Source organism: Homo sapiens, chromosome 15 (assembly GCF_000001405.40).
Source record: "Homo sapiens chromosome 15, GRCh38.p14 Primary Assembly".
Classification (NCBI taxonomy): Eukaryota; Metazoa; Chordata; class Mammalia; order Primates; family Hominidae; genus Homo; species Homo sapiens.
Window position 1 is genome coordinate 23,668,363 of NC_000015.10, and position 23,351 is coordinate 23,691,713.

At 41.6% G+C, this 23,351-nt stretch overlaps 1 protein-coding gene across 1 annotated transcript; it reads right to left on the reverse strand.

Annotated features, from left to right (window-relative positions):
- NDN (necdin, MAGE family member) lies at positions 17,038 to 18,943 on the reverse strand. The gene has a single exon (NM_002487.3). It carries the CDS (start codon positions 18,853 to 18,855, stop codon positions 17,890 to 17,892), a length of 966 nt encoding a protein of 321 aa, NP_002478.1. The 5' UTR covers positions 18,856 to 18,943; the 3' UTR covers positions 17,038 to 17,889.

Below are 23,351 nucleotides of genomic sequence, written 5' to 3' on the forward strand. Positions count from 1 at the left end.
AGCAATTTATTTTAATTCCCAATTGCATACTTATATATTGTAGGCTATATTCAGTTATTCTTAAAATATGTAATCATATGACTTTTAGGAGGAGAATGTAAATTAAAAATGACTATAGGATATTCTAATATTCAATTTAAAAGTAAGAATGACATTTTTATTTCTGTCCAGTGATACAGTGGGATATATATATTTTTTCTTCTTCTGTTTCCTTTTTAGTAATATTTCTCTATACTGCCTACAGCCTTCATGATATCTTTCTTTTATTTTATGTGGTGATAAAATTGAGTACAGTCAAACATATAATTCACTTTGACTTGCTGCTCTGTTCTCATCAAGTCCACATTACATTGATTCCAGTGGTAAGTCTGATGTAAAAACATAGCTAAATATGTTTACAAAAAGAGTGTTTGGACATAAGATATTTAGGATTTTACTTACCAGCAGCAGCAGAGTTTTGAATTTGACCAAATTCATGTCCAGCTTTCAAAAAAACACCACTCACTTTGTATTTAAAGGGTTATTTTCGTAGACTATCTGTTTGTTAATGAGATCATTTGCATCTAGAGATCCATCATATAGGCTGCTGACATGTAAAAAAGTCCATGATTTATGAACATTCATAAGTGTATTGGATGCTATCATAAGTTAACCCTCTTTGTCATGAAAATGGCTTCAAAGCACAGAGGTAATTTGAAGTTGTGAAATCAAATTTGTATTCTAAATAATTTACAATTTCTAAAAAGAAATTGAGAAAATTCTGTTTAAAACAGGCCTGGTGTGGTGGTTCACGCCTGTAATCCTAGCACTTTGGGAGGCTGACGTAGGCAGATTGCTTGAGGTCAGGTGTTCAAGACCAGCCTGACCCACATGGTGAAACCCCATCTCTACTAAAAATACAAAAATTAGCCAGGCATGATGGTGCACGCCTGCAGTCCTAGCTACTCAGGAGGCTGAGGCAGGAGGATGGCTTGAACCCGGGAGGCAGAGGTTGCAGTGAGCTGAGATCGCACCACTGCACTCCAGCCTGGGTGACAGAGCCAGACTCCATCTCAGAGAAAGTTCTATTTAACTTAGCTGATCTTTTCTGATGACCTTTTCTCGTGTTCTGAAATAGTATCATTTCCCTAAAACATGAGGGTTTTTGTTCATCCTGTTTTTGCTGTATTAGTTTTTGTTGCAACCAGAACACAACATCACGTAACTCAAATGCAGCCAGCTTATCATTTTCTAGGCTCCATATGACCTCTTCAAAGATCACCAACAGTTTTGGGAAAAAAGCATATTCACTTCTGTTGCATTTTTCTCCCCTTCTCTTTATTCTCATCCTTAATTTGCTTTCAGATTAGAGAACATTCTTCTTCTTTCATACTCTGAAAACATGATTTTATGGCAGGCTAACATTTTGGTATCTTTTCTACGGCTGGCCGCAATGCAAGCTGTCTTGTGGGCATAGGTGTAAGGATGCTATCTCCTTCCATTTCCATAAAGCCGAAGTTATGATTCTTGTTTCTGTATGTTTTAAGAAAACTGAAAAGTGGTGAAAAATTTTAATTATGAAAGCCTTAAAATCACAAGTAAGCACACCAGGCCCCTTTTTAGCAGTTCTATATTAAATGTGTGTGAGGCATTTAGTAGGTAATATCTTTTCTTTGATAAGAAGTTCATAGACTGAATGGAGTCTGGCAAATTTACATTTGTGCTGTCTGCCAGATATGCATATAGATGAGCAAATTCTAGTTCAGATTTGGAAAAGATGTTAATAATCTTTTGTTTCATGTTTTCTGTGGTTTAATGAAAAGTTTCATAGAAACCAAAAGATAATTTAAAGCTCCATTTTTCAAATAAACATGTCTAAAATGTGGAGTGCATTTTTTTTTTGGTTATCATTATTTGACGCATCACTTGCTGTATTGTAGGCAGCATGATTGACAGTAAGACTTGTCAGAGTCAGCTCTACACTGTAAAGAACCAATGTATCTATTATCAAAATTTCCCATTTTGTTTGTTGAAAGACATTTTCAATGCAACTTGTAGGTTAACATAAATCAATAAAATGATATAATGATGTGTGCTGGTTTGTATTGTATACCAAAACTAATACAATGTTTTAGTTTTCCAGAATATCCACTTCTAGTTACTCTGCACTTTCTGGATAAATGGGTTGCTCCAGTGCAGGGCTATGATTCTCTGTCTTGAGCTAGGCATCTTTATTAACTGTGAACCTCATATCTCTTGTAGGATATGTCACTGAATGTTCGAATAATTTTAAAGGTAATGTAACTTTACTCATTTTCAAATAGAAATCAATAAAATGATATAATGATGTGTGCTGGTTTGTTTGGTATACCAAAGGTAATTCAGTGGCTGCCATTTTCAACTGAACATCAGTGTTTGTTTAGGAGACCAAAAATCCAAAAAATAACAGAAATAAAAGAAAAGAAAAGAAAAAGAGAAAAGAAACTTTTGTTCCTTTTAGAATTACGTGCTTATATCATCCTTAAATGGTAAAATTTAGTCTTCACACAGAGGGATGATAATGAAAAGACACAAAAAGAAGACAGTCATCTGCACCATCTACAAGCCAAGCAAAGAGACCAGGAACAGATCATGTTCTCACTGCCCCCAGAAGGAACCAACCCACTGACACCTTGATCTGGGACTTCCAACCTCCATAACTGTGAGGAGATAGATTTTTGTTGCTTAAGCCACCCAATCTATGGTACTTTGTTACGGCAGCCCTAGCAAAGTCACACAGATCATGTAACCTCCTCTACCATACCCAGCCCCACATTATTTTTCTGCCTATTGTGCAATATGCTCTGTTTTGTTTACTTACCTTTGTAATACAGTTGTCTGTGTCCTTCATGTACCATTAAAATAACACAATCATTTAGCCTTCTGGGCCTTGCTGCATTGGTATTGTAATTGTTTGTGTTTTTACTATCTGAATTATTAGAAAATATGGTCTCAAGGTTTGTAAAGTTAAAAACTGAACTAGCACAAAATTGATTCAAAGTAGAACAGTTAATCCACAGCTAAAGTCAAATACAGACAAACACTCATGATTACAACATGCTTCATTTACATATTTAAGTCACAAGAGTTAGAATGATTCACGATTTGCAGCTCACAGTAATTCACTGATCACTGTGAACTGCAAATCGTGGTTATACGCATTAGTGGTCAGGAAAAAAACAGTGACAGCAATTACAAGAAACAGATAATATGTGCTGTCTCCATTTGGCAGTAAAATGCATACAGCCCTTGTTTGGGTGATGCCATATGGGTTTTCTAGTTTTTTCTCCAATCTTCTTTACTCATGGCCAAAAATTTGGGGTTTTTCACATCCCACAGAGGGGATTCCTAGAAAGTGGGACTTCTGGTGCCAAAATCAAGACAATTCCAGATAAACTGCTGGGATTTTGATAAAAATTGCATGAATCCTACATGTCTGTTTGATCTGTTTACCATGTTGAGTCTTCTGATCTATGAACATGATATTTCTCTCCATTTATTTAGGTATTTTTTGATTTTCTAATCAGTGCTTTATAAGCTTTTCAAAATAGAGATCCTATATGTTTTGATGTATGTATTCATAAGTATTTTTGAGTTATTATAAATGGTACTGAGTTTTAAATGTTTAAATTTCTGTTTCCAAGAGTTATTGCTGGTATATAGAAATGTAATTGGTTTTGTGTGTTGACCCCGTATCTTGTGACATTGCTAAAGTCTCTTCTTAATTCAGGTATGGTTTTTTGGACATTATTTGAGATTCTCTACATAGACAATTATGCCATCTGCAAATAGAAGTAGCTTTATTTCTTCATTTTCAGCCTGTAAGCATTTTACTTCCTTTTCCTGTCTTATTGAACTGGCTAGGACTTTCATCACCAAGTGGAAAAGGAGTGATAAGAGTGGACAGCATACTCTACCCTTCCCTCCAATCTTAGAGGGAAGCATCCAGTTTTTGGTCATTAAACACACTAAGCAATGTTAACTATAGTAGTAGTTGTTGTTTCTTTTATAATGTGCTTTACCAGGTTGGTAATGCTCTTTTCTGTGCCTAGATTGCTGAGAGCTTTTGTTATGAATGGGAGTTGAATTTTGTCAGATGCCTTTCCTGCATGCATTGACATGATCATGTGGTTTTTCTTAAGATTACAGATATGATGAATATACTGAGACAGTCTTGCATTTGTGGAACAAATAAGAAATGCAGTGGTGGTACCTTGTACATATCGGTAAATTAAATTTTCTAATATCTGCTGGAGTCTCCCATGAGAGATTCTCCTGGGAAGATCCCCTGCCTTCTCCATTCTATGGGACACATCTGGGACTGTCTTTCTCTCTCATCACTTTCCTTCTCTGTCTTAAATTTTGACTTTCCCTGACACTCCTCTGGGAAAATAGAAGCACCATCAACTTTCTGCCACAGATACAACAGGTATACATCAATCAGTCATTTCATACTTCTGTCTCATTCCTATGGACGATGCATTCCCAATCCTGTATAGTAACTCCATTTTATAATATAGATCTCGCCATGTCTTCAATACTGGTATCTCTCCATCAACCATTGAATATATACATCATTTATATTCACATCCTGCTCCATACTTAATTCGCTGAAGTTTGGTTTCTGTTGACAACTATCCCATTGAAATTGTTCTTCATAAAATGAAAATAATCTCTTTATGAGTAATTTCAGTAAACACTTCTTAGTTATTTTATTGCTTCATGCCTCAACTAAATTTAACAACTGACCAATCCCTCCTTTGGCATTTCTAAAACTACATTCTCTAAATCTCACTTATTCCTAATCTCTTCCCACTGTTTCTTGATATTATTTGAGAGTTATCTTTCTGCTTTTCCATGTAATATTTGTTCTCCTCAATGCTCCATCCTGCACCTCTTCCCTCTCACTCTCCGAGATTCCCAAACTCATATGCCTTTAGGAACAAAAAGTAATGTAAGTACCTGAGGATAGCTGGTGTATTGCTTCTCGGCCTTTTGGCTAAGATCAAGTGTGGATAGCTGGTGTAAGTGTCTGAGATTAAGCAGAAGAGTGTCTGTCCTGCCTAAACTGCTCAGGTGAAGCAGAGAATACCTTTGCAAATCCATCCCTTCCCATCCATAGGTTCATGACATTTTAATCTGCATCTTTTCTTATGCATTTATCCCTAATCAAATGGACATCTCTGTTTAGATGCCTGGCATTTACGTTAAACTCAAAATATATAAAACTGAACTCATCCTCCTCCCACGTAAATCTGCTTTCTCTTTTCTCACAAACTCAGTAACTGATACGACACACAAAATTGTGCATGTCAGAAACCTGGCCATAAACCTGATTCCTCCCTGTTTTTATTTCTAGCATTTCATCAATCATCCATTTTTGGCAATGTAACCCCCAATTATTTCTCAATTTTTCAATTAATCTCCATCTTCATTATTCATTCCCTAGTTAAAGTTACCATTATCTCTCACCTGAGTGAAGGGTGAACACGCGTCATGCCTTTGAACTTAATCTCCTTTATTCCCTTCTCTTATCAGCAAAGATCCTACTAAATGCAAATAAACCCCTCAAATACTTCTAATAACTCAACAGTGTTTGACACTATTGGCCACTTCCTTTGGCTTGAAATGCTGCTATTTTGATTCTCATCTCTATCACTCTCCTGGCTTACTTTCTATCTCTTAACCAGGTACTGTTTTTAGTCTCCGTAGCAGCTTTTCCTTCAATACTACACGTGGTAATGTCTTAGTTTCCCAGAATATCCGCTTCTAGTTACTCTGTGCTTTCACTCTGGATAAATGGGTTGCTCCAGTGCAGGGCTATGATTCTCTATCTTGAGCTAGGCATCTTTAATAATTGTGAACCTCATATTTCTTTTAGGACATGTCACTGAGTGTTTGTATGAACTCTTTACTGTTTTCATCCAAAACCTGTTTTTCACCTCCCTTCTCCATTTCATCAAATCACACTTATGGCCAGGTGCGGTGGCTCACCATCTATAATCCCAGCACTTTGGGAGGCTGAGGATCGCTTGAGCCCAGGAGTTCGAGACCAGCCTGGGCAACATGGTGAGACTCCGCCTTTACAAAAAATACAAAAATTAGCCAGGTGTGATGGTGTGCTTCTATAGTCTCAACTACTTGGGAGGCTGAGATGGGATGATCACTTGAGCCTAGGAGGTCAAGGCTGCAATGAGCTATGATTGTGCCACTACACTCCAGCCTGGACAACAGACCGAGACTCTGTCTCAAAAAAAAAAAAAAAATCACACTATTCACCGAGTGCTCAAGCCTGAAACCTGAGAATCCAGATCTAATCTTCCATGTCCCTTACCTATCCATCCTCCATTCCTCAATTGAGCCACAAATATACCCTCCTTCATCATGTCTACATCATCTTCATCTCTTAGCAGACTCTCAACTTTGATGCTTTCCCTTCTCAATTCATTCTGAGTATACTAAGGAGGGCAATATTTTAAAAGCCTAATGTCAATTAGATGAGTCTGCAAGTCGTTAGTGGTTTCCATTTACTCTTTAAATACAATCTGCCTGCTTACCATTGCCTACAGGGCTGCCCTGATACCTTCCTCTCTCTCCTGGTTCTGAGCCTTTCTTTCCCCTTCGCAACCCCAGAAAGCACCACCATTATTAGTATGATTTCTTGAGCAAATAACAAAACTGGCTTATAAATAACAAGCTGAATTTTTAAAAAAATTATACATTTTTCTGAGATAACTCTAAATGCCAAAGTGGTACAAACTTCAGAGCCAGAAGCCCTAATTCTATTCTCATGAACATTGCCATGAAATGAATGGAAGTTCTAATCTACATGACCTGATTGCCCAGAACTGATTAAGTTCTCATATCTGATCTAAGAACTGCAGCAAGGAGATAGAATTACTCTGCTTGTCATAACCTAATCGGGGTCCACCTATGGTCAGTAATACCCTCATGTGAGTACCAGACACAGAATGGGAGACGAGAAAAGAATTTTTTGGAGACTTTACCAGTTAGGGATGCTTTGAGCTGCACAAAGCAAGCAAAAAACCCACAAGACAATAGCTTAAAGAATGAGATTTTATTCTACATGCCAAAAACTATAGATACAAGTAGGTGGCTATTGGTATTTGTCCAGCAGTTTGTAGATGTCAGGCTCAACCTCTCTATGATTTCTTTAGCTGTTTTTATACTGCCATCATACGAGCAACAATAGCTCCTGACTTTCCTTATACATTCCCTGAAAGAGAAAAAGGATGTAGGAAGGAAAAGCACAGATAAACCTCTCTGTACATCTCTTGACTGGAACACAGCTGAAAAACCAAGAAGTTAAATATTTAACTTGTGCAGCCTCAACTGTGGAGACAGACAAGAAAAGACAACTGGGTGTCACATGCTGCTCAGCCCATTTATAATGCTATTTCTCATGGTAAAGGCCACCAGAAAAATCTAGGTGATTCACTCTGGCCCTTCATATATATGTATATATATTATACACATATATGTGCATATATATGTATATATATTATACACACATATGTGCATATATATGTATATATTATACACACATATGTGCATATATGTGTATATATTATACACACATATGTGCATATATGTATATATTATACACACATATGTGCATATATGTATATATTATACACACATATGTGCATATATGTATATATAATACACATACGTGCATATAAAATACACATATGTGCATATATGTATATATTACACACATATATGTGCATATATGTATATATTACACACATATGTGCACATATGTATATATATGCACACATATGTGCATATATATGTATATATTATACACACATATGTGCATATATATGTGTACTTATTATACACATATATGTGCATATATATGTGCACATATATGTATATACTATACACATCTATGCGCACATATATGTATATACTATACACATCTATGCGCACATATATGTATATATTATACACATCTATGCGCACATATATGTATATATTATACACATCTATGCGCACATATATGTATATATTATACACATCTATGCGCACATATATGTATATATTATACACATCTATGCGCACATATATGTATATATTATACACATCTATGCGCACATATATGTATATATTATACACATCTATGCGCACATATATGTATATATTATACACATCTATGCGCATATATATGTATATATTATACACATCTATGCGCATATATATGTATATATTATACACATCTATGCGCATATATATGTATATATTATACACATATACATATATATGAAGGCCCAGATGGGATGATGTGCATATATATGTATATATATTACACACATATATGTATACATGCGTAATTTATATATACATACATACATGCCTGGATTTATCTTGATCTTCCCTTTGATCTTTGCTAACTCTCTTGTTATCCTTCAATTAATTATCAGCTTAAATTTCACCTTTTCAGAAAATTATTTCTTGGGCTTCCTGCCTTAGTTTGTCTTCTCAACCATTCTCTATCAATTTAACCACGTCATTTATTTAAATTAAACTTTTTTTGTAGAGATGGGGTCTTGCTATGTTGCCCAGGTTGGGCTTGAACTCCTGGCCTCAAGCAATTCTTACATATTGGCCTCCCAAAGTGTTGGTATTATAGATGTGAGCCACTCTGCCTGGCCCATTTTTTTCATATATCTTATCCAATCATATAATTTGTATTTGAAGTTTCATTTGTACCTCTTTGTTGTGCTCTATCAATGCAAAATTTATCAATAAGCCAGGTGTGGTGGCTCACTCCTTTAATCCCAGCACTTTGGGAGGCCGAGGCGGGTGGATCACAAGGTCAGGAGATTGAGACCATCCTGGCTGACACGGCAAAACCTTGTCTCTACTAAAAATACAAAAAATTAGCCGGGCGTGGTGGCAGGCACCTGTAGTCCCAGCTACTGGGGAGGCTGAGGCAGGAGAATGGCATGAACCCAGGAGGTGGAGCTTGCAGTGAGCCAAGATGGCGCCACTGCACTCCAGCCTGGGCAACAGAGCCAGACTCCATCTCAAAAAAAAAAAAAAAAAAGTTTATAAACAAACTACTTGAGGCCAAGAGCCATCTTGTTTAATTCACCAAATTGTACCAGTTCCTAGCACAAGTCAGCCATATAGTTGAAGTTCAAGAAATCTCTATTGAATAAATACATAAACAAACTAATTTATACAGCAAACAGGAATCTTAAAGATTTTTTAGTATAAAGTTGGTGGGCTAATAGAAGAGACATGAAACCGTTTAGATATGGGAAAATATGTAATATAGTTAAGGGCTCCAAACCCTGAGTAGCTGAACCCAAGAATAATTGGGCAAATAAAGAGATAAGGAGGGATGTTTTAGACCCCTCATCAGAAAGCAGACAACAACAGCAGCAATAAAAAAACAAAGGTGTCTGTTCAAAAGAAGGCTATCCTTCAGCATGGCTTCTTCTAAATCTGTTAGCCTTTCATGTGATTCATATGAGCCCTCTTCTTTGTCACATCCTTGAGGAAATTGACTGTATCTTCAGCCAGCATGTTTTTTTTTCCTAGCCTCTAGCCAATTCTGAAATTTGTTTATTTCCCTTCTCCTTTTTACTCTATTTATTTTGAGAAACTCATTATATAGCCCCGTATGCTTGTGTGTGTGGTCACACAGCAGATCCCGGGACACAAAGAGAGCCTCCTCCCAACTTCACCCTTCCACACACCGTTTTCACGTTGCTAATTGCTTCTCATCCTATAGAACCAATTTATGCCTCACCTCTCTAGGACAGTCTGAGTCGTGTGCACCTGTTTGTGCCTCTTTAGGCCCCACACTTCTCTTAGGATGGCACTCACTGCGCTGAAATGTAATTATTTTTATTCACCTGCTTCTTTCAATTCAGTGAATGCTCGGCAAGCACAGGACAATGTCTATTCTGTTCACTCTTGCATCCCTAACTCCTAGCCCTGCATCTGCCGCATATTAGGTACTCAGTAAGCACTCTGAATGAATGCATAAAATAGCATGTAGTAATTTATACAACTATAGCAGGGTCCAAGGATGCCAATTTCAATTCACTCTTGCTAGTACAGGATATTCATTTTTATTGTATCTTTGATCAATTCATATACACAAAGTATCTTTACTTAATCAGTGAGATTGTATTTGTTTTTCATTTTCTCATTTGATGTTTGTGTTTCCTATTAAGGCACTGACCTCTCTGTGTCCTTGGCCCATTTATCTAGTAATAAGTTGCTTCTTTTTTTCTTTTGTATACTTTAAGTTCTAGGGGCACATGTGCACAACGTGCAGGTTTGTTACATAGGTATACATGTGCCATGTTGGTTTGCTACACCCATCAACTCATCATTTACATTAGGTATTTCTCCTAATGCTATCCCTCCACCAGCCTCCCACCTCTCGACAGGCCTCGGTGTGTGATGTTCCCTGCCCTGTGTCCATGTGTTCTCATTCTTCAGCTCCCACCTATGAGTGAGAACATGCGGTGTTTGGTTTTCTATCTTTGTGATAGTTTGCTTGGAATGATGGTTTCCAGGCCGGGCGCGGTGGCTCATACCTGTAATCCCAGCACTTTGGAGGCCAAGGCGGGCGGATCATGAAGTCAGGAGATCGAGACCATCCTGGCTAACACTGTGAAACCCCGTCTCTACTAAAAATACAAAAAATTAGCTGGGCGTGGTTGCGGGCGCCTGTAGTCCCAGCTACTCAGGAGGCTGAGGCAGGAGAATGGCATGAACCCGGGAGACAGATCTTGCAGTGAGCCTAGATCGCGCCACTTCACTCCAGGCTGGGCGACAGAGTGAGACTCCGTCTCAAAGAAAAAAAAAAAGACAATGGGTTTTCTAGATATACAATCATGTCATCTGCAAACAGGGACAATTTGACTTCCTCTTTTCCTAATTGAATACCCTTTATTTCTGTCTCCTGCCTGATTGCCCTGGCCAGAACTTCCAACACTGTATTGAATAAGAGTGGTGAGAGAGGGCATCCCTGTCTTGTGCCAGTTTTCAAAGGGAATGCTTCCAGTTTTTGCCCATTCAGTATGATATTGGCTCTGGGTTTGTCATAAATAGCTCTTATTATTTTGAGATACATCCCATCAATACCTAACTTTTGAGAGTTTTTAGCATGAAGGGCTGTTGAATTTTGTCAAAGGCCTTTTCTGCATCTATTGAGATAATCAGGTGGTTTTTGTCAGCCCAAAATCTCCTTAAGCTGATAAGCAACTTCAGCAAATTCTCAGGATACAAAATCAATGTGCAGAAATCACAAGCATTCTTATACACCAATAACAGACAAACAGAGAGCCAAATCATGAGTGAACTCCCATTCACAATTGCTTCAAAGAGAATAAAATATCTAGGAATCCAACTTATAGGGATGTGAAGGACCTCTTCAAGGAGAACTACAAACCACTGCTCAATGAAATAAAAGAGGATACAAACAAATGGAAGAACATTCCATGCTCATGGGTAGGAAGAATCAATATCGTGAAAATGGCTATACTGCCCAAGGTAATTTACAGATTCAATGCCATCCCCATCAAGCTACCAATGACTTTCTTCACAGAACTGGAAAAAACTACTTTAAAGTTCATATGGGACCAAAAAAGAGCCCACATTGCCAAGTCAATCTTAAGCCAAGAGAACAAAGCTGGAGGCATCACGCTACCTGACTTCAAACTATACTACAAGGCTACAGTAACCAAAACAGCATGGTACTTGTACCAAAACAGAGATATAGACCACTGGAACAGAACAGAGCCCTCAGAAATAATACCACAATCTACAACCATCTGATCTTTGACAAACCTGACAAAAACAAGAAATGGGGAAAGGATTCCCTATTTAATAAGTGGTGCTGGGAAAACAGGCTAGCCATATGTAGAAAGCTGAAACTGGATCCCTTCCTTACACCTTATACAAAAATTAATTCAAGATGGATTAAAGACTTAAATGTTAGACCTAACACCATAAAAACTCTAGAAGAAAACCTAGGCAATACCATTCAGGATATAGGCATGGGCAAAGACTTCAGGTCTAAAACACCAAAAGCAATGGCAACAAAAGCCAAAATTAGCAAATGGGATGTAGTTAAACTAAAGAGCTTCTGCACAGCAAAAAAACTACCATCAGAGTGAACAGGCAACCTACAGAATGGGAGAAAATTTTTGCAATCTACTCACCTGACAAAGGGCTAATATCCAGAATCTACAAAGAACTCAAACAAATTTACAAGAAAAAAACAAACAACCCCATCAACAAGTGGGCAAAGGATATGATCAGACACTTCTCAAAAGAAGACATTTATGCAGCCAAGAGACACATGAAAAAATGCTCATCATCACTGGCCATCAGAGAAATGCAAATCAAAACAACAATGAGATACCATCTCACACCAGTTAGAATGGCAATCATTAAAAAGTCAGGAAACGGCAGGTGCTGGAGAGGATGTGGAGAAATAAGAACACTTTTACACTGTTGGTGGGACTGTAAACTAGTTCAACCATTGTGGAAGTCAGTGTGGTAATTCCTCAGGGATCTAGAACTAGAAATACCATTTGACCCAGCCATCCCACTACTGGGTATATACTCAAAGAATTATAAGTCATGCTGCTGTAAAGACACATGCACATGTATGTTTATTGCAGCACTATTCACAATAGCAAAGACTTGGAACCAACTCAAATGTCCATCAATGATAGACTGGATTAAGAAAATGTGGCACATATACACCATGGAATACTATGCAGCCATAAAAAAGGATGAGGTCCTGTCTTTTGTAGGGACATGGATGAAGCTGGAAACCATCATTCTCAGCAAACTATTGCAAGGACAAAAAACCAAACATCGCATGTTCTCACTCATAGGTGGGAATTGAACAATGAGAACACTTGGACACAGGAAGGGGAACATCACACACTGGGGCCTGTTGGGGGTGGGGGGAGGGGGGAGGGATAGCATTAGGAGATATACCTAATGTAAATGATGAGTTAATGGGTGCAGCACACCAACATGGCACATGTATACATATGTAACAAACCTGCACGTTGTGCACATGTACCCTAGAACTTAAAGTATAATGAAAAAAAATATATATATATGTATATATATATATAAAGAATGATGGCTTCCAGCTTCACCCATGCTCATCATCACTGGTCATCAGAGAAATGCAAATCAAAACCACAATGAGATACTATCTCACACCAGCCGGGCGCGGTGGCTCACGCCTGTAATCCCAGCACTTTGGGAGGCCAAGGCGGGTGGATCACTAGGTCAGGAGATCGAGACCATCCTGGCTAACACGGTGAAACCCCGTCTCTACTAAAAATACAAAAAATTAGCCAGGCGCGGTGGCAGCGCCTGTGGTCCCAGCTACTGGGGAGGCTGAGGCAGGAGAATGGCGTGAACCCGGGAGGCGGAGCTTGCAGTGAGCCGAGATCGCACCACCGCACTCCAGCCTGGGTGACAGAGAGAGACTCTGTCTCAAAAATAAAAAATAAAAAAAAAAGAAAGAAAAGAGATACCATCTCACGCCAGTTAGAATGGCGATCATTAAAAAGTCAGGAAATAAGTTGTTTCTTTGTACTATTTTTCCTTTCTAAAAAAACTACTAGATATTGGGTTATTTTGTTAGAGTGTTTGTAGCAGTGATTCTTGAAACAAGTTTTTGCTTCCATTGTTTTTCTGCCTTCTGTTTTTTTTTCTTTCACTAATTTCAACTTATCTACATTACCTCCACTTTGCTTTTTTTTTTTTTTGGAGACGGTGTCTTGCTCTGTCACCCAGGCTAGAGTTTAGTGGCATGATCTCGTCTCACTGCAACCTCCGCCTCCCGGGTTCGAGGGATTCTCCTGCCTTAGCCTCCTGAGTAGCTGGTACTACAGGCACGTGCCACCACGCCCAGCTAATTTTTGTGTTTTTAGTAGAGACAGGGTTTCACCATGTTGTCCAGCCTCGCCTTGAACTTCTGACCTCAAGTGATCCGCCCATCTCGGCCTCCCAAAGTGGTGAGATTACAGACATGAGCCATCGCGCCCGTCCTACGTTACCTCTATTTTATTATTATTATTATTATTTATTTTTTGAGATGGAGTCTGGCTCTGTCGCCCCAGGCTGGAGTGCAGTGGCGGGATCTCAGCTCACTGCAAGCTCCGCCTCCCGGGTTCACACTATTTTCCTGCCTCAGCCTCCCGAGTAGCTGGGACTACAGGCACCCGCAACCACGTCCGGCTAATTTTTTTGTATTTTCAGTAGAGACGGGGTTTCACCATGTTAGCCAGGATGGTCTCATCTCCTGACCTCGTGATCTGCCTGCCTCGGCCTCCCAAAGTGCTGGGATTACAGGCATGAGCCACCGCGCCCTTTAAATTGGCTAATTTTTGTCAGCCACATATGGTTTTGTTTTCTTGTGTGGATGGGTAGGTCTTTTCTAATATGTTGAGTTACTTAACTTATATAACAAATATGTATCAAGTGCAGCCCTTATGCCCCATCCTTACCTCAAGTGTCAAGCAAATAATGAACAGGATAAAGACAATTCTAACCCTTAAGTATGTAACAATCCAGGAGGAGAGAAATAAAAGGCACATAATTATAAACAGCAGGTGTATTTTGGGTGCATTTAGAACATGGCTGTGCTTAGAGGTTAGGGAGTGTGTTCTCCCAGGAAATAGTGTTCATGAGTTGGTCAGGTAAGACTCAGGTTGGAGAAGGACATAAAAGGGTTTTCAAGCAGAGGAAATATTTAACTGCATAAGAAGTTCACTTAAAACATTTCTATTTAATAATGATACTGCTTAAAGTTATTTATTTCCTCTCAGGACAACTTACACCAGGTGTCTTTATATTTTATATTAAATTTATAAAGATCCCTTTTCCCTTCCTTTCATAAAATGAAATTAACAAATCAAAATATGTTTGCAGGTGTTTGTGAAGAAATGAGGTTCCAGTTGGCAGGTAAAAGTTGACATGTTATGGGGATTTAGGAAAGTCTCTCCCACCCACAGCAGTCTGGGCTTCAGCACACTGTCATGTTGGACTGCAACACTGAGGACCAGCTGACCCCTTCCTGATTGACCTATCCCAGGACCTTGTAGGTGAATCTTTTGGTAAATATTTGACAAACCCTCCAGTCTTTCTATTTAGAGCCCAGCATGAAAACCCAAGAGAGCTGCTGGGTTCTCTCTCCCCATGCCCCAAGCTGCTATCTCTGCAGGATCAGGTGTCATGAAGTAAACTCATTTCACATCTGGAAGCCTCTTTCTCTAGGTCTGGCTGCCTCCTAGGCAGCATTAGGGACGAGTCGCTCTGCCCCATGCCTTACTCCTTTCTCACATTCTCACATTCTCACATTCTGTTTCTCCTGCAAGGGCTAGGTCCTCTATGGCCTGGCTAGGGTGCCTGTGTGAGTGAGCTTGGGACAGCTTTGGAAAGGGTGGTTCTCCCTGCCTCTGACAGCAGAGAGGAAAGTGGACACAACATAAGGAGTTAAACGGGGATGTAAGGAGACTGTTTGCCTGGTGATTTCTGGGCTTGACTGCAAGAAGCGCACAGGGGTTACTGCTCCTGCAAGGCATCAATCCAGCAGTGAGGGAAGTATTAAGGCATTAGAGAAGATGACCAGCACCATGTGTGGCAGGAACAACAGCCCACAGTCCTACTCCAGAAATGAAACATCCTGGATATCCCCACAATTTTAAATGATAACGGGCAGGTTTATTTTGATTCTGGAGAAACTTTTCGATGGGTTGTGGGGAGGTAAGATTTCCAAACAATCCTAACACTTCTGAACAGGTGAGACACTCACATTGGTTTTGTGTAAGAGGTGCCATCAAAGCCAGGTCACCCCTGCCTGGGTGATTGCAGAAATGTCCCCCTTTCTCTGCAGAACCCCCTTGAAAATCTTCACAGGAAGCTTTTAAACCGGGATGGATTTCATCTCAGCATGAACAGGGGCTTCCTAAGCATTTCCAGCACCTGCCCCCACCTGTTAAGTAATGCCAGTAAGTGTTGGCAATTCCAAATTATAATTCCCTCACCCTAATAGGACTCCCAGTTTACTTCTTTGGGGTGTTATGTGACATGTGTCCTCTTCATTATCCATCTTCCACAGAAAAGTTTCTGGCTTTGGCCAAATGGTCTTTCCCACTCTTTTGTAGTTTAAAGGACTTCTAGTCTTATTAAAGCCCCCTTTCTCCCCGCTACCCCTTGCAGGACTAAAAATTCACAGTGAGATTTTTCTTCAGGCATTGCCCCTAATGCCCACCCGCAGCCCACCCCATCCTCTGAGGATTACCTAGTGGCTCACCGCAACTGAAGGGCTGCAAGGCCACAGACATCCTGATGGACAACCCACCTCCCTCTCTCAGGTGTCTTGTGTGTTTGTCAGAGAAGGTGCCTTCACCTCCAACCCTCAGGAGAGATTGTTTCAAATCCTAGCTTCACTGCTAAATAGGAATATCACTTTGTTAGGTTAATTAACCTCTCCAAAAGTAAGTTTCTTAATTTGCACAATCAGAATGATATTGCTTTCTCCAAAATATCATGAGAATTAGAAAAATAAAATTCCTAGCCTTTTTGTATGTGTGGCCCATGAACCCATGTGATTGTAGGCTCCCACATAAAATGTAAAAATAAATTTAAAAATAAATAACCTAAAAGCCACGGGGTATAGGGCAGTCGTAGGCAGGTGGAGACAAATGTGGGCTCTGGATTCATTCTGAGTTCAAGTCCTAGCTCCTTCTCTTATTAACCTTTATGAGCTATGGAAAGTTCATTACCTACATTATTCCTGTGTTTCCTCCATGGTGCAGAGGCAGTAGGTGCCTGCCTGACAGGCCTGTTGCAAGGATTAAAGGAGAAAAATACATGTTAGGGCTTAGCACAATGTCTCACTCTTTTATATTATAAATATGTTATATGTATATTAATAGATGTCACAAGACATCTATTAATTTTGATAAAATGTAGAAACTTAAGGGAAGGAAATTATTTTTGTTTTTTATTCCCATATGATGTGATTACAGACAATCTTACTGTTTTGTTTTGTATACTTTTCTATATTTGTGAATGTTTTTGAAATAAACATGAGTTACATTTAAAGACAATAGAACTATAAACTTCACAAATTTAGGAGTAATCATGAGTAGCGATTTTTCCCACCCTATTAGGGGAAATAGTTGTATCTGTATACACTGTAAAATAGAGAATTGTCTCATTCCCAACCATACTGCTTTGTTAAAATGATAAAGTACACTTTTCCAAAAATGATTGTATCACAAGAATCTTTAATGTTTACTTTAAAGTTGACTCACGGTGGGGTTGTATATGTGTTTAGTAAAGTGTGCCAAGTGCTCACACTGAGACCAGTCCAGTTCAAATTAGTGTACTCCACGAGGGTGTTTTCTGTGCCCAGCAAGGTCATGAAGGGCCTTGACTTTTCTTGGTTAGGCCGGCTTTGCTGGTGACTTCTTCCAAACTCTGCAGGAGCAGTCTACCCCAACACACATCATCAGTCCCATATAAAAGAATAAGATGGAAACTTTCTCAATGTATTTCATCAGTTTAGCACATCTCTGGTACAAAAATCCAAGAAAGGTAGCACAAAAGCGAAAGCACCAACCAAGCTTACATATAAACAAACATGCATACATCCTAAATACTACACAATAGTACCCAAATGAATACAACATTGCATTAAAGGTATAAAAGCACTGTACTGAAAACTTAAAAGTTACACGTGAATACTGCACTGTAAATCCTGAATACTATAATGACCCACCCCCACCCTTCCACAGCCCTGGTGAGGGTCAGAAACCATTCATCTGCCTCCAGACTTTGCTAGTCCTCAGAGACACTGCTGCGAGGGTAGTGGGCAGTGGGATTAGCCTCCCGCAGAGCTCTGGCCTCCTCCAGAGCTTCTCTGTATCGGGAGGGCCAGGCCTGGGGGTCTTTCTTAAAGACCCTGGCCAGGAACTCCATGATTTGCATCTTGGTGATTTCGCGGCTGGCCCGGGAGCCCCAAAAGAACTCGTATTCGGGCGGCTCCACGTATGGGACGCGCTGGTACTTCAGGTAATTCATTTGGACGAACTCCTCAGTGATGAGCTTCCGCACGTCCCCGAAGGTGGAGTGCTTCTTCCAGGGCCGCAGCCCCAGGATGCGCAGCACGTTCCAGACGGCGCTCTCTCTGGCGCCGCGGCCCTTCACGTAGATGAGGCTCAGGATCATGAGCAGGAGGCCTGTCATGGGCATGCGGTTGCTCAGCGCCACCCTGTCCAGCTCCTCGGGCTCCAGCGCTTTGACCAGCGCAAACTCCATGGTGTGCAGGCTGGTTAGCCTCAGGTGCAGCCCGAACACCCGGGCGAGGATGAGGCTGGTGCGCCGGAGGATGCTCCTGCACCACTTCTTGTAGCTGCCGATGACATCTTTCACCATGTCTGGAAACCAGATGATCATCTTCTTCTGGTCCTTGACCAGCACGTACCACATGAGCTCGTGCGCCTTCTGCACCAGCTGCGCCGGGGCTGGCGGTGCCGGGCCCGGCTGGGCCGCGCTCGGGGCCTGGTGGGCGCGGCCCTCCTCCGCAGCCTGCTGCAGGGCCTTCGGGTCGCCCTCGTCGTTCGGGGCCTGGGGAGGCGGCGCGGCCTGCGGAGCGGCCGTCGGGCCTAGAGGAGGGCTCTGCGGCTCTGCCAGGGTCGCGGACGGAGGAACCCCCTCCGAAACCCCAGGGCTGCTGTGCACCTCGGAGTTGGGGGCCTCGGCTGCAAAGTTAGGGTCGCTCAGATCCTTACTTTGTTCTGACATGTCTGCGCCGTCTGGCAAGGGCAGGGCCTCTGCGTCCAGGAGCTCTTCGAGCCTGCGCTCCCTCCGCGGATTCCTGGAGAGGAAGTGCGCGTTGCTGCGCGCGGCGCCTTCCGCAGCGACGGGCAGGGCGGGGCGGCGGCGGGACGCGGCACTGCGCCTGCGCGACCGCGGCCTTGGCCAGCGGCTGGGGGCGGGCGGGGCAGCGCGGGGCCCCGACGGGGAGGGTCCATGGCGAGGCTTCACCTGCTGGGAGAGCGATCCCGGGGTTTCCTGTTTGGGCTGAGAAGATCTAGGGCAGGAGAGAAGTGAGATGGATGCGTACTGGAGAAGGGGCCAGTTTAAGGGAAAGATACCTTAAGTTTTTGGGATGTTGGGGTCAAGTTTCTTGGGAAACGCTTACCTGGGTATATCCAGAATTAAGTTAAATATGAGAGTCCCAGAGAAAGGTCTGGGCGGCTTTGTAAACATGAGCTTTATGCGAACCAGTGAGAGGAACAGTCGGGCTTGTCCAAGAAAATGTGTAAACTGTAAAGTGGATGTCTGAGGTTGGAATCCTGAGAAATTCCAATAAAAAATGATCGACTCCCTACCAAATCAGATAGGCTATAAGAAAAGGGGAAATGCAGTGTGTCGTTAACGTAATTTCCTATCAACCCATGTGAACTATGAACTTTTTAAGTAGGCAGTGGACTTAGAGCATCATTAATGCTTTAACGGGCATAAATTTGGGTTTTACACTTCCTTTGGGTAACTTTGATTCCATTTTATTTTTTTCCATACTTAGTCCATAGCAGAAGGATTGCTATATCTTTTAGCACAAACTTGTATGATAATGTCTTTTCCCTCTGCCCAGCACCCTCATTCTTCAATTCACCTTCTCTCAGGACCCTCTCTGAAGCTACTGAGTCCTCCACGTTGGAAGCCACACCCAAGTCTTTCCTGAGATTTAAAAAAAAAATAGGTCCCATGGGTAATATCTGGTAGTGTCTCTGAGATGACCAAAGGGTAGCAGGGGAAACATAGGTAACCCTGTTTTCCAGGTATGGAAAACAGATTCCCAGTGGGCAAAGACAAAACTGTCACTCCTACAGGCTCTCCATGAAAAAAAGGGTCATTGCCTGAGCATCTGAAACCAGGGACCTTAATGCTGCTTCAGCATCCTTGGTCTGGGCTGATGTGGTCCTTCAGCTCTTCCCGGGTTTCTTCTCATCAGCAGCTTCTTAAATATGCTGTCTTGAATCTAGTTATTGCCACTCGAAGCCAAAAGCATATTTAAAAATTGTCTTGACATGTCTAGAGTCCTCACTGTGAGTATGTATCTTTTCCCACTTTATTTTTCCTCAAGCAGGTTGATGTTGAAAGGTTTTCTGTGCTTTCTCTCTTTGGGTTTGCACGCACATAACACTTTTGGCAGAGCCATTACCACACCAGTCCCTCCAACAGGACTCTTAAGCTTCCCACTTCACCAGGGTAATTCCTAGATATCAGTCTTAGTTGGAATTATTTCAACACTTTTCTCCTCCTCCTCACCCTCCTCCACCTCCTCCTTCTCCTCTCCATCTACTTCTCCTTTTTCTCCTTCTTCTATTTATAGATATCTACCATTTTCTTGGGAACATCTTACAGAAATATGCTAATTATATTCATTGTTTTTAAGAATGTCTCTTGAACAGACTTATTACCCCCATGCTTCATAAATATAATCCTCATTTATTGCATTTAAATCTCCATCAATATTATTCTTTATTTTGTTTGGGTATGTATTATTTTCTAACTATTTAAATAAAATATTTAGGCCAGGTGCGGTGGCTCACGCCTGTAATCCCAGCACTTTGGGAAGGTGAGGCGGGCAGATCACCTGAGGTCAGGAGGTCGAGACCAGCCTGGCCAACGTGGCAAAACCCCGTCTCTACTAAAAATACAAAAATTAGCCGGGTGTGGTGGTGGGCACCCTTAATCCCAACTGCTTGGCAGGCTGAGGCAGGAGACTCGCTTGAACCTGGGAGGTGGAGTTTGCAGTCAGCTGAGAGCATGCCACTGCACTCCAGCCTGGGCAACAGAGCGAGACTGTCTCAAACATTAAATAAATAAAGAAATAAAATATTTAGTTCATTTGATATATTTTTTAATAAGAAAAGTGTTTGAACCTACTATTTAAATCTCAACTTGGCTTTGGCCATAGGCTATGGTTTTTAACATTGTGATCTCATTAAAACTGCATTCTCACATGTCACCCTCCGAGATGTAATGGATTCTTGAAATTAAAGTGCAGGCTTGGGGCATGACAACAATAAAAGGTGGCTCTGCTGAAGTGAGTATCAGCGCTCTGGCCAGAGAGCTGCTTGGACTTCAGTTGCTGCCTGGGCAGGACTGGATAACTTCTACCTGGACTTCATTCTAGTGAAGTTGCCAGCATCAAGCAGACTGTGCAGAAGGCCTCTCCTGCAGCACACAACACACTACACTTCTGACAGAAGGGTTGTCCAATGCTGTACCAGGGCCTGTCGATTAAGACCACCCTGAGAGATTACACTTGGAAGGCTTAAAGCCTTAGGTCTGATGCACAAGTCTGAAATGAAGCACAGGCTAGACCTGGAGCCCAACTGTACACCTGCTAAAATGATATCATCTTCTTCCTGAAGAATGAAGAGGTTCAATTCCCCCCCAAAATCAAATTACTGGGAGTAGAAGTTTGGGTAGGTGGGGTAGTGGGACAAAATAAAGCCTGGGATAGCCTGTTAGTGGGGAAAGCACACATGCGCAGGTGCAATGGGATAGACGGGTCAGTAGCTTGATGGCTGCCTAATAAGGTGTGTGCCCACGAACCAGAGATTCCGACCTTCAGAGTAATAACAAAAAGGACCAAAGACACTGTGAGAAATGAGACGAAGCTAGTACTTGGAAGGCATCCACAACTACCTTGACCCAAGGCTCAAGATCTGGGATGGAGCTCTAATGCTGTCCTGAGAGTCATGGGGATAATAAATCTTGCTGGGTGTCTCCAGGGGGGCCCCTATTTGAGTTGGGCAATAAGTCCTCTCAGGGCCAGCAGCTTAGTAGAAAAGTGTGAAGACTACAAAAATATATCTCAACTACTCATTAAATCAAAATTCTGTAAATAGAAGTTCTGTGAATAGACACAGAAAATATACGGAGAAGCTGTAACTTAAAATATTCTGGAGCAGACAGTTTTGCTGGTGGGTTACTTCGAACTCTGTAATACGGAACAGATTACACAGCTGTGGAATAGGCTGTTCTTGGCAGACCCAGGAACAGGAGGAGAGGCCAGTCCCAGCCTTGGTTTCCATAGTGAACGGAGGAAGGGGGGTCACCCCAGAGCCTCTAGTGGGAAGTGCGCATGCTCGCAGTGCAGGGGCCCAGAGGCCCTGGATGAAATGTGAATCCTCTGGCTCTTCCCTGTCCACATAGGCAGCAACCTCCACCTTGGAGCCCCTAAATGGGCCCCAAATGCCTTTCAGGCCAAGGATCTTAAACGGAATTCACTTTAATGTGTTCAGCAAATATTGAGCAATATCCGTCATGTGCCTGAAATATTTGCATTTCAGAAAAGTCTCAGTCTGAGGGAAAAACCCATGGCAGCTGGGCCCCTTTTTTTGTTAGAAAACATTAAGAAGTTAGGACAGGCAGTGCTGCTTTCCAAAGTTGGGAGGGTGTAGGGAGGGACTGGACCCTGGCCCCTCATCCCCAGCCTCCCTAGGGGGCCACTGCTCATGCTCATCCATTCAAGGTCCATCGCATGCACTGAAATGGGAGAATTTTCTGTTCTGCACAGCCCCAAGGAGCAGCTCTCTCAGATAGTTAAGGAGTCTAGGGTGTCTTCTGAAAAGTCACCTGCATACAGAGTAAGATTAGAGTTTGGGGCAGGTGGACAAGCAGAGGCAGGGAGTCTCATTAGGGGTCCCTTCCCAGGACTCCATGTGAAAATGGGTGATGGCTTGCATTTCATCTTCATTCGCCAACTGTTTACTAACATTACATTTCAGGCCTTGTGCCTGGGGATACAATGAGAAGTGACATGGTCTCTGTAATCTGTACTGAGGGAAAGTGGTGGAGAAAAAGAGCGTTAAAAGAGAAAACAAATGCCTGATCAAATCATATGTTATGATGCATATTGTGAAGCAATATTATCACCAAGAGTGGGACAGAGGGAGCCGAGGTTCAATAGAAATGCCAGGTTCAAAAGATATAAACAGCAATGGAAGGGGAGGGGAGACTGTGAATAACAGGCACATCCAGGATTCTGTCTCAGGCAGCCAATTGAGCAGGACAGTGCAGCTATGAGATGCAGGTGCCATTTCCTGAAACCATGCAGAGAGAAGGACCAGAAGATTGTGGGAAGACCGAACGGTCTTACCCAGCGGATATCTGGATTGACACAACTCAGCAAAAACGCCTGCGCTGGAAAGTTAAGTTTGGAAGGTAAAGAAGATAAATCACATCACCCTGAGAGTGTCTGGAGCAGGGCTCTTTAATGA

Coding starts and splice junctions, on each gene's coding strand:
- NDN (NM_002487.3), bottom strand. CDS start 18,855: ATGTCAGAACAAAGTAAGGATCTGAGCGACCCTAACTTTGCAGCCGAG.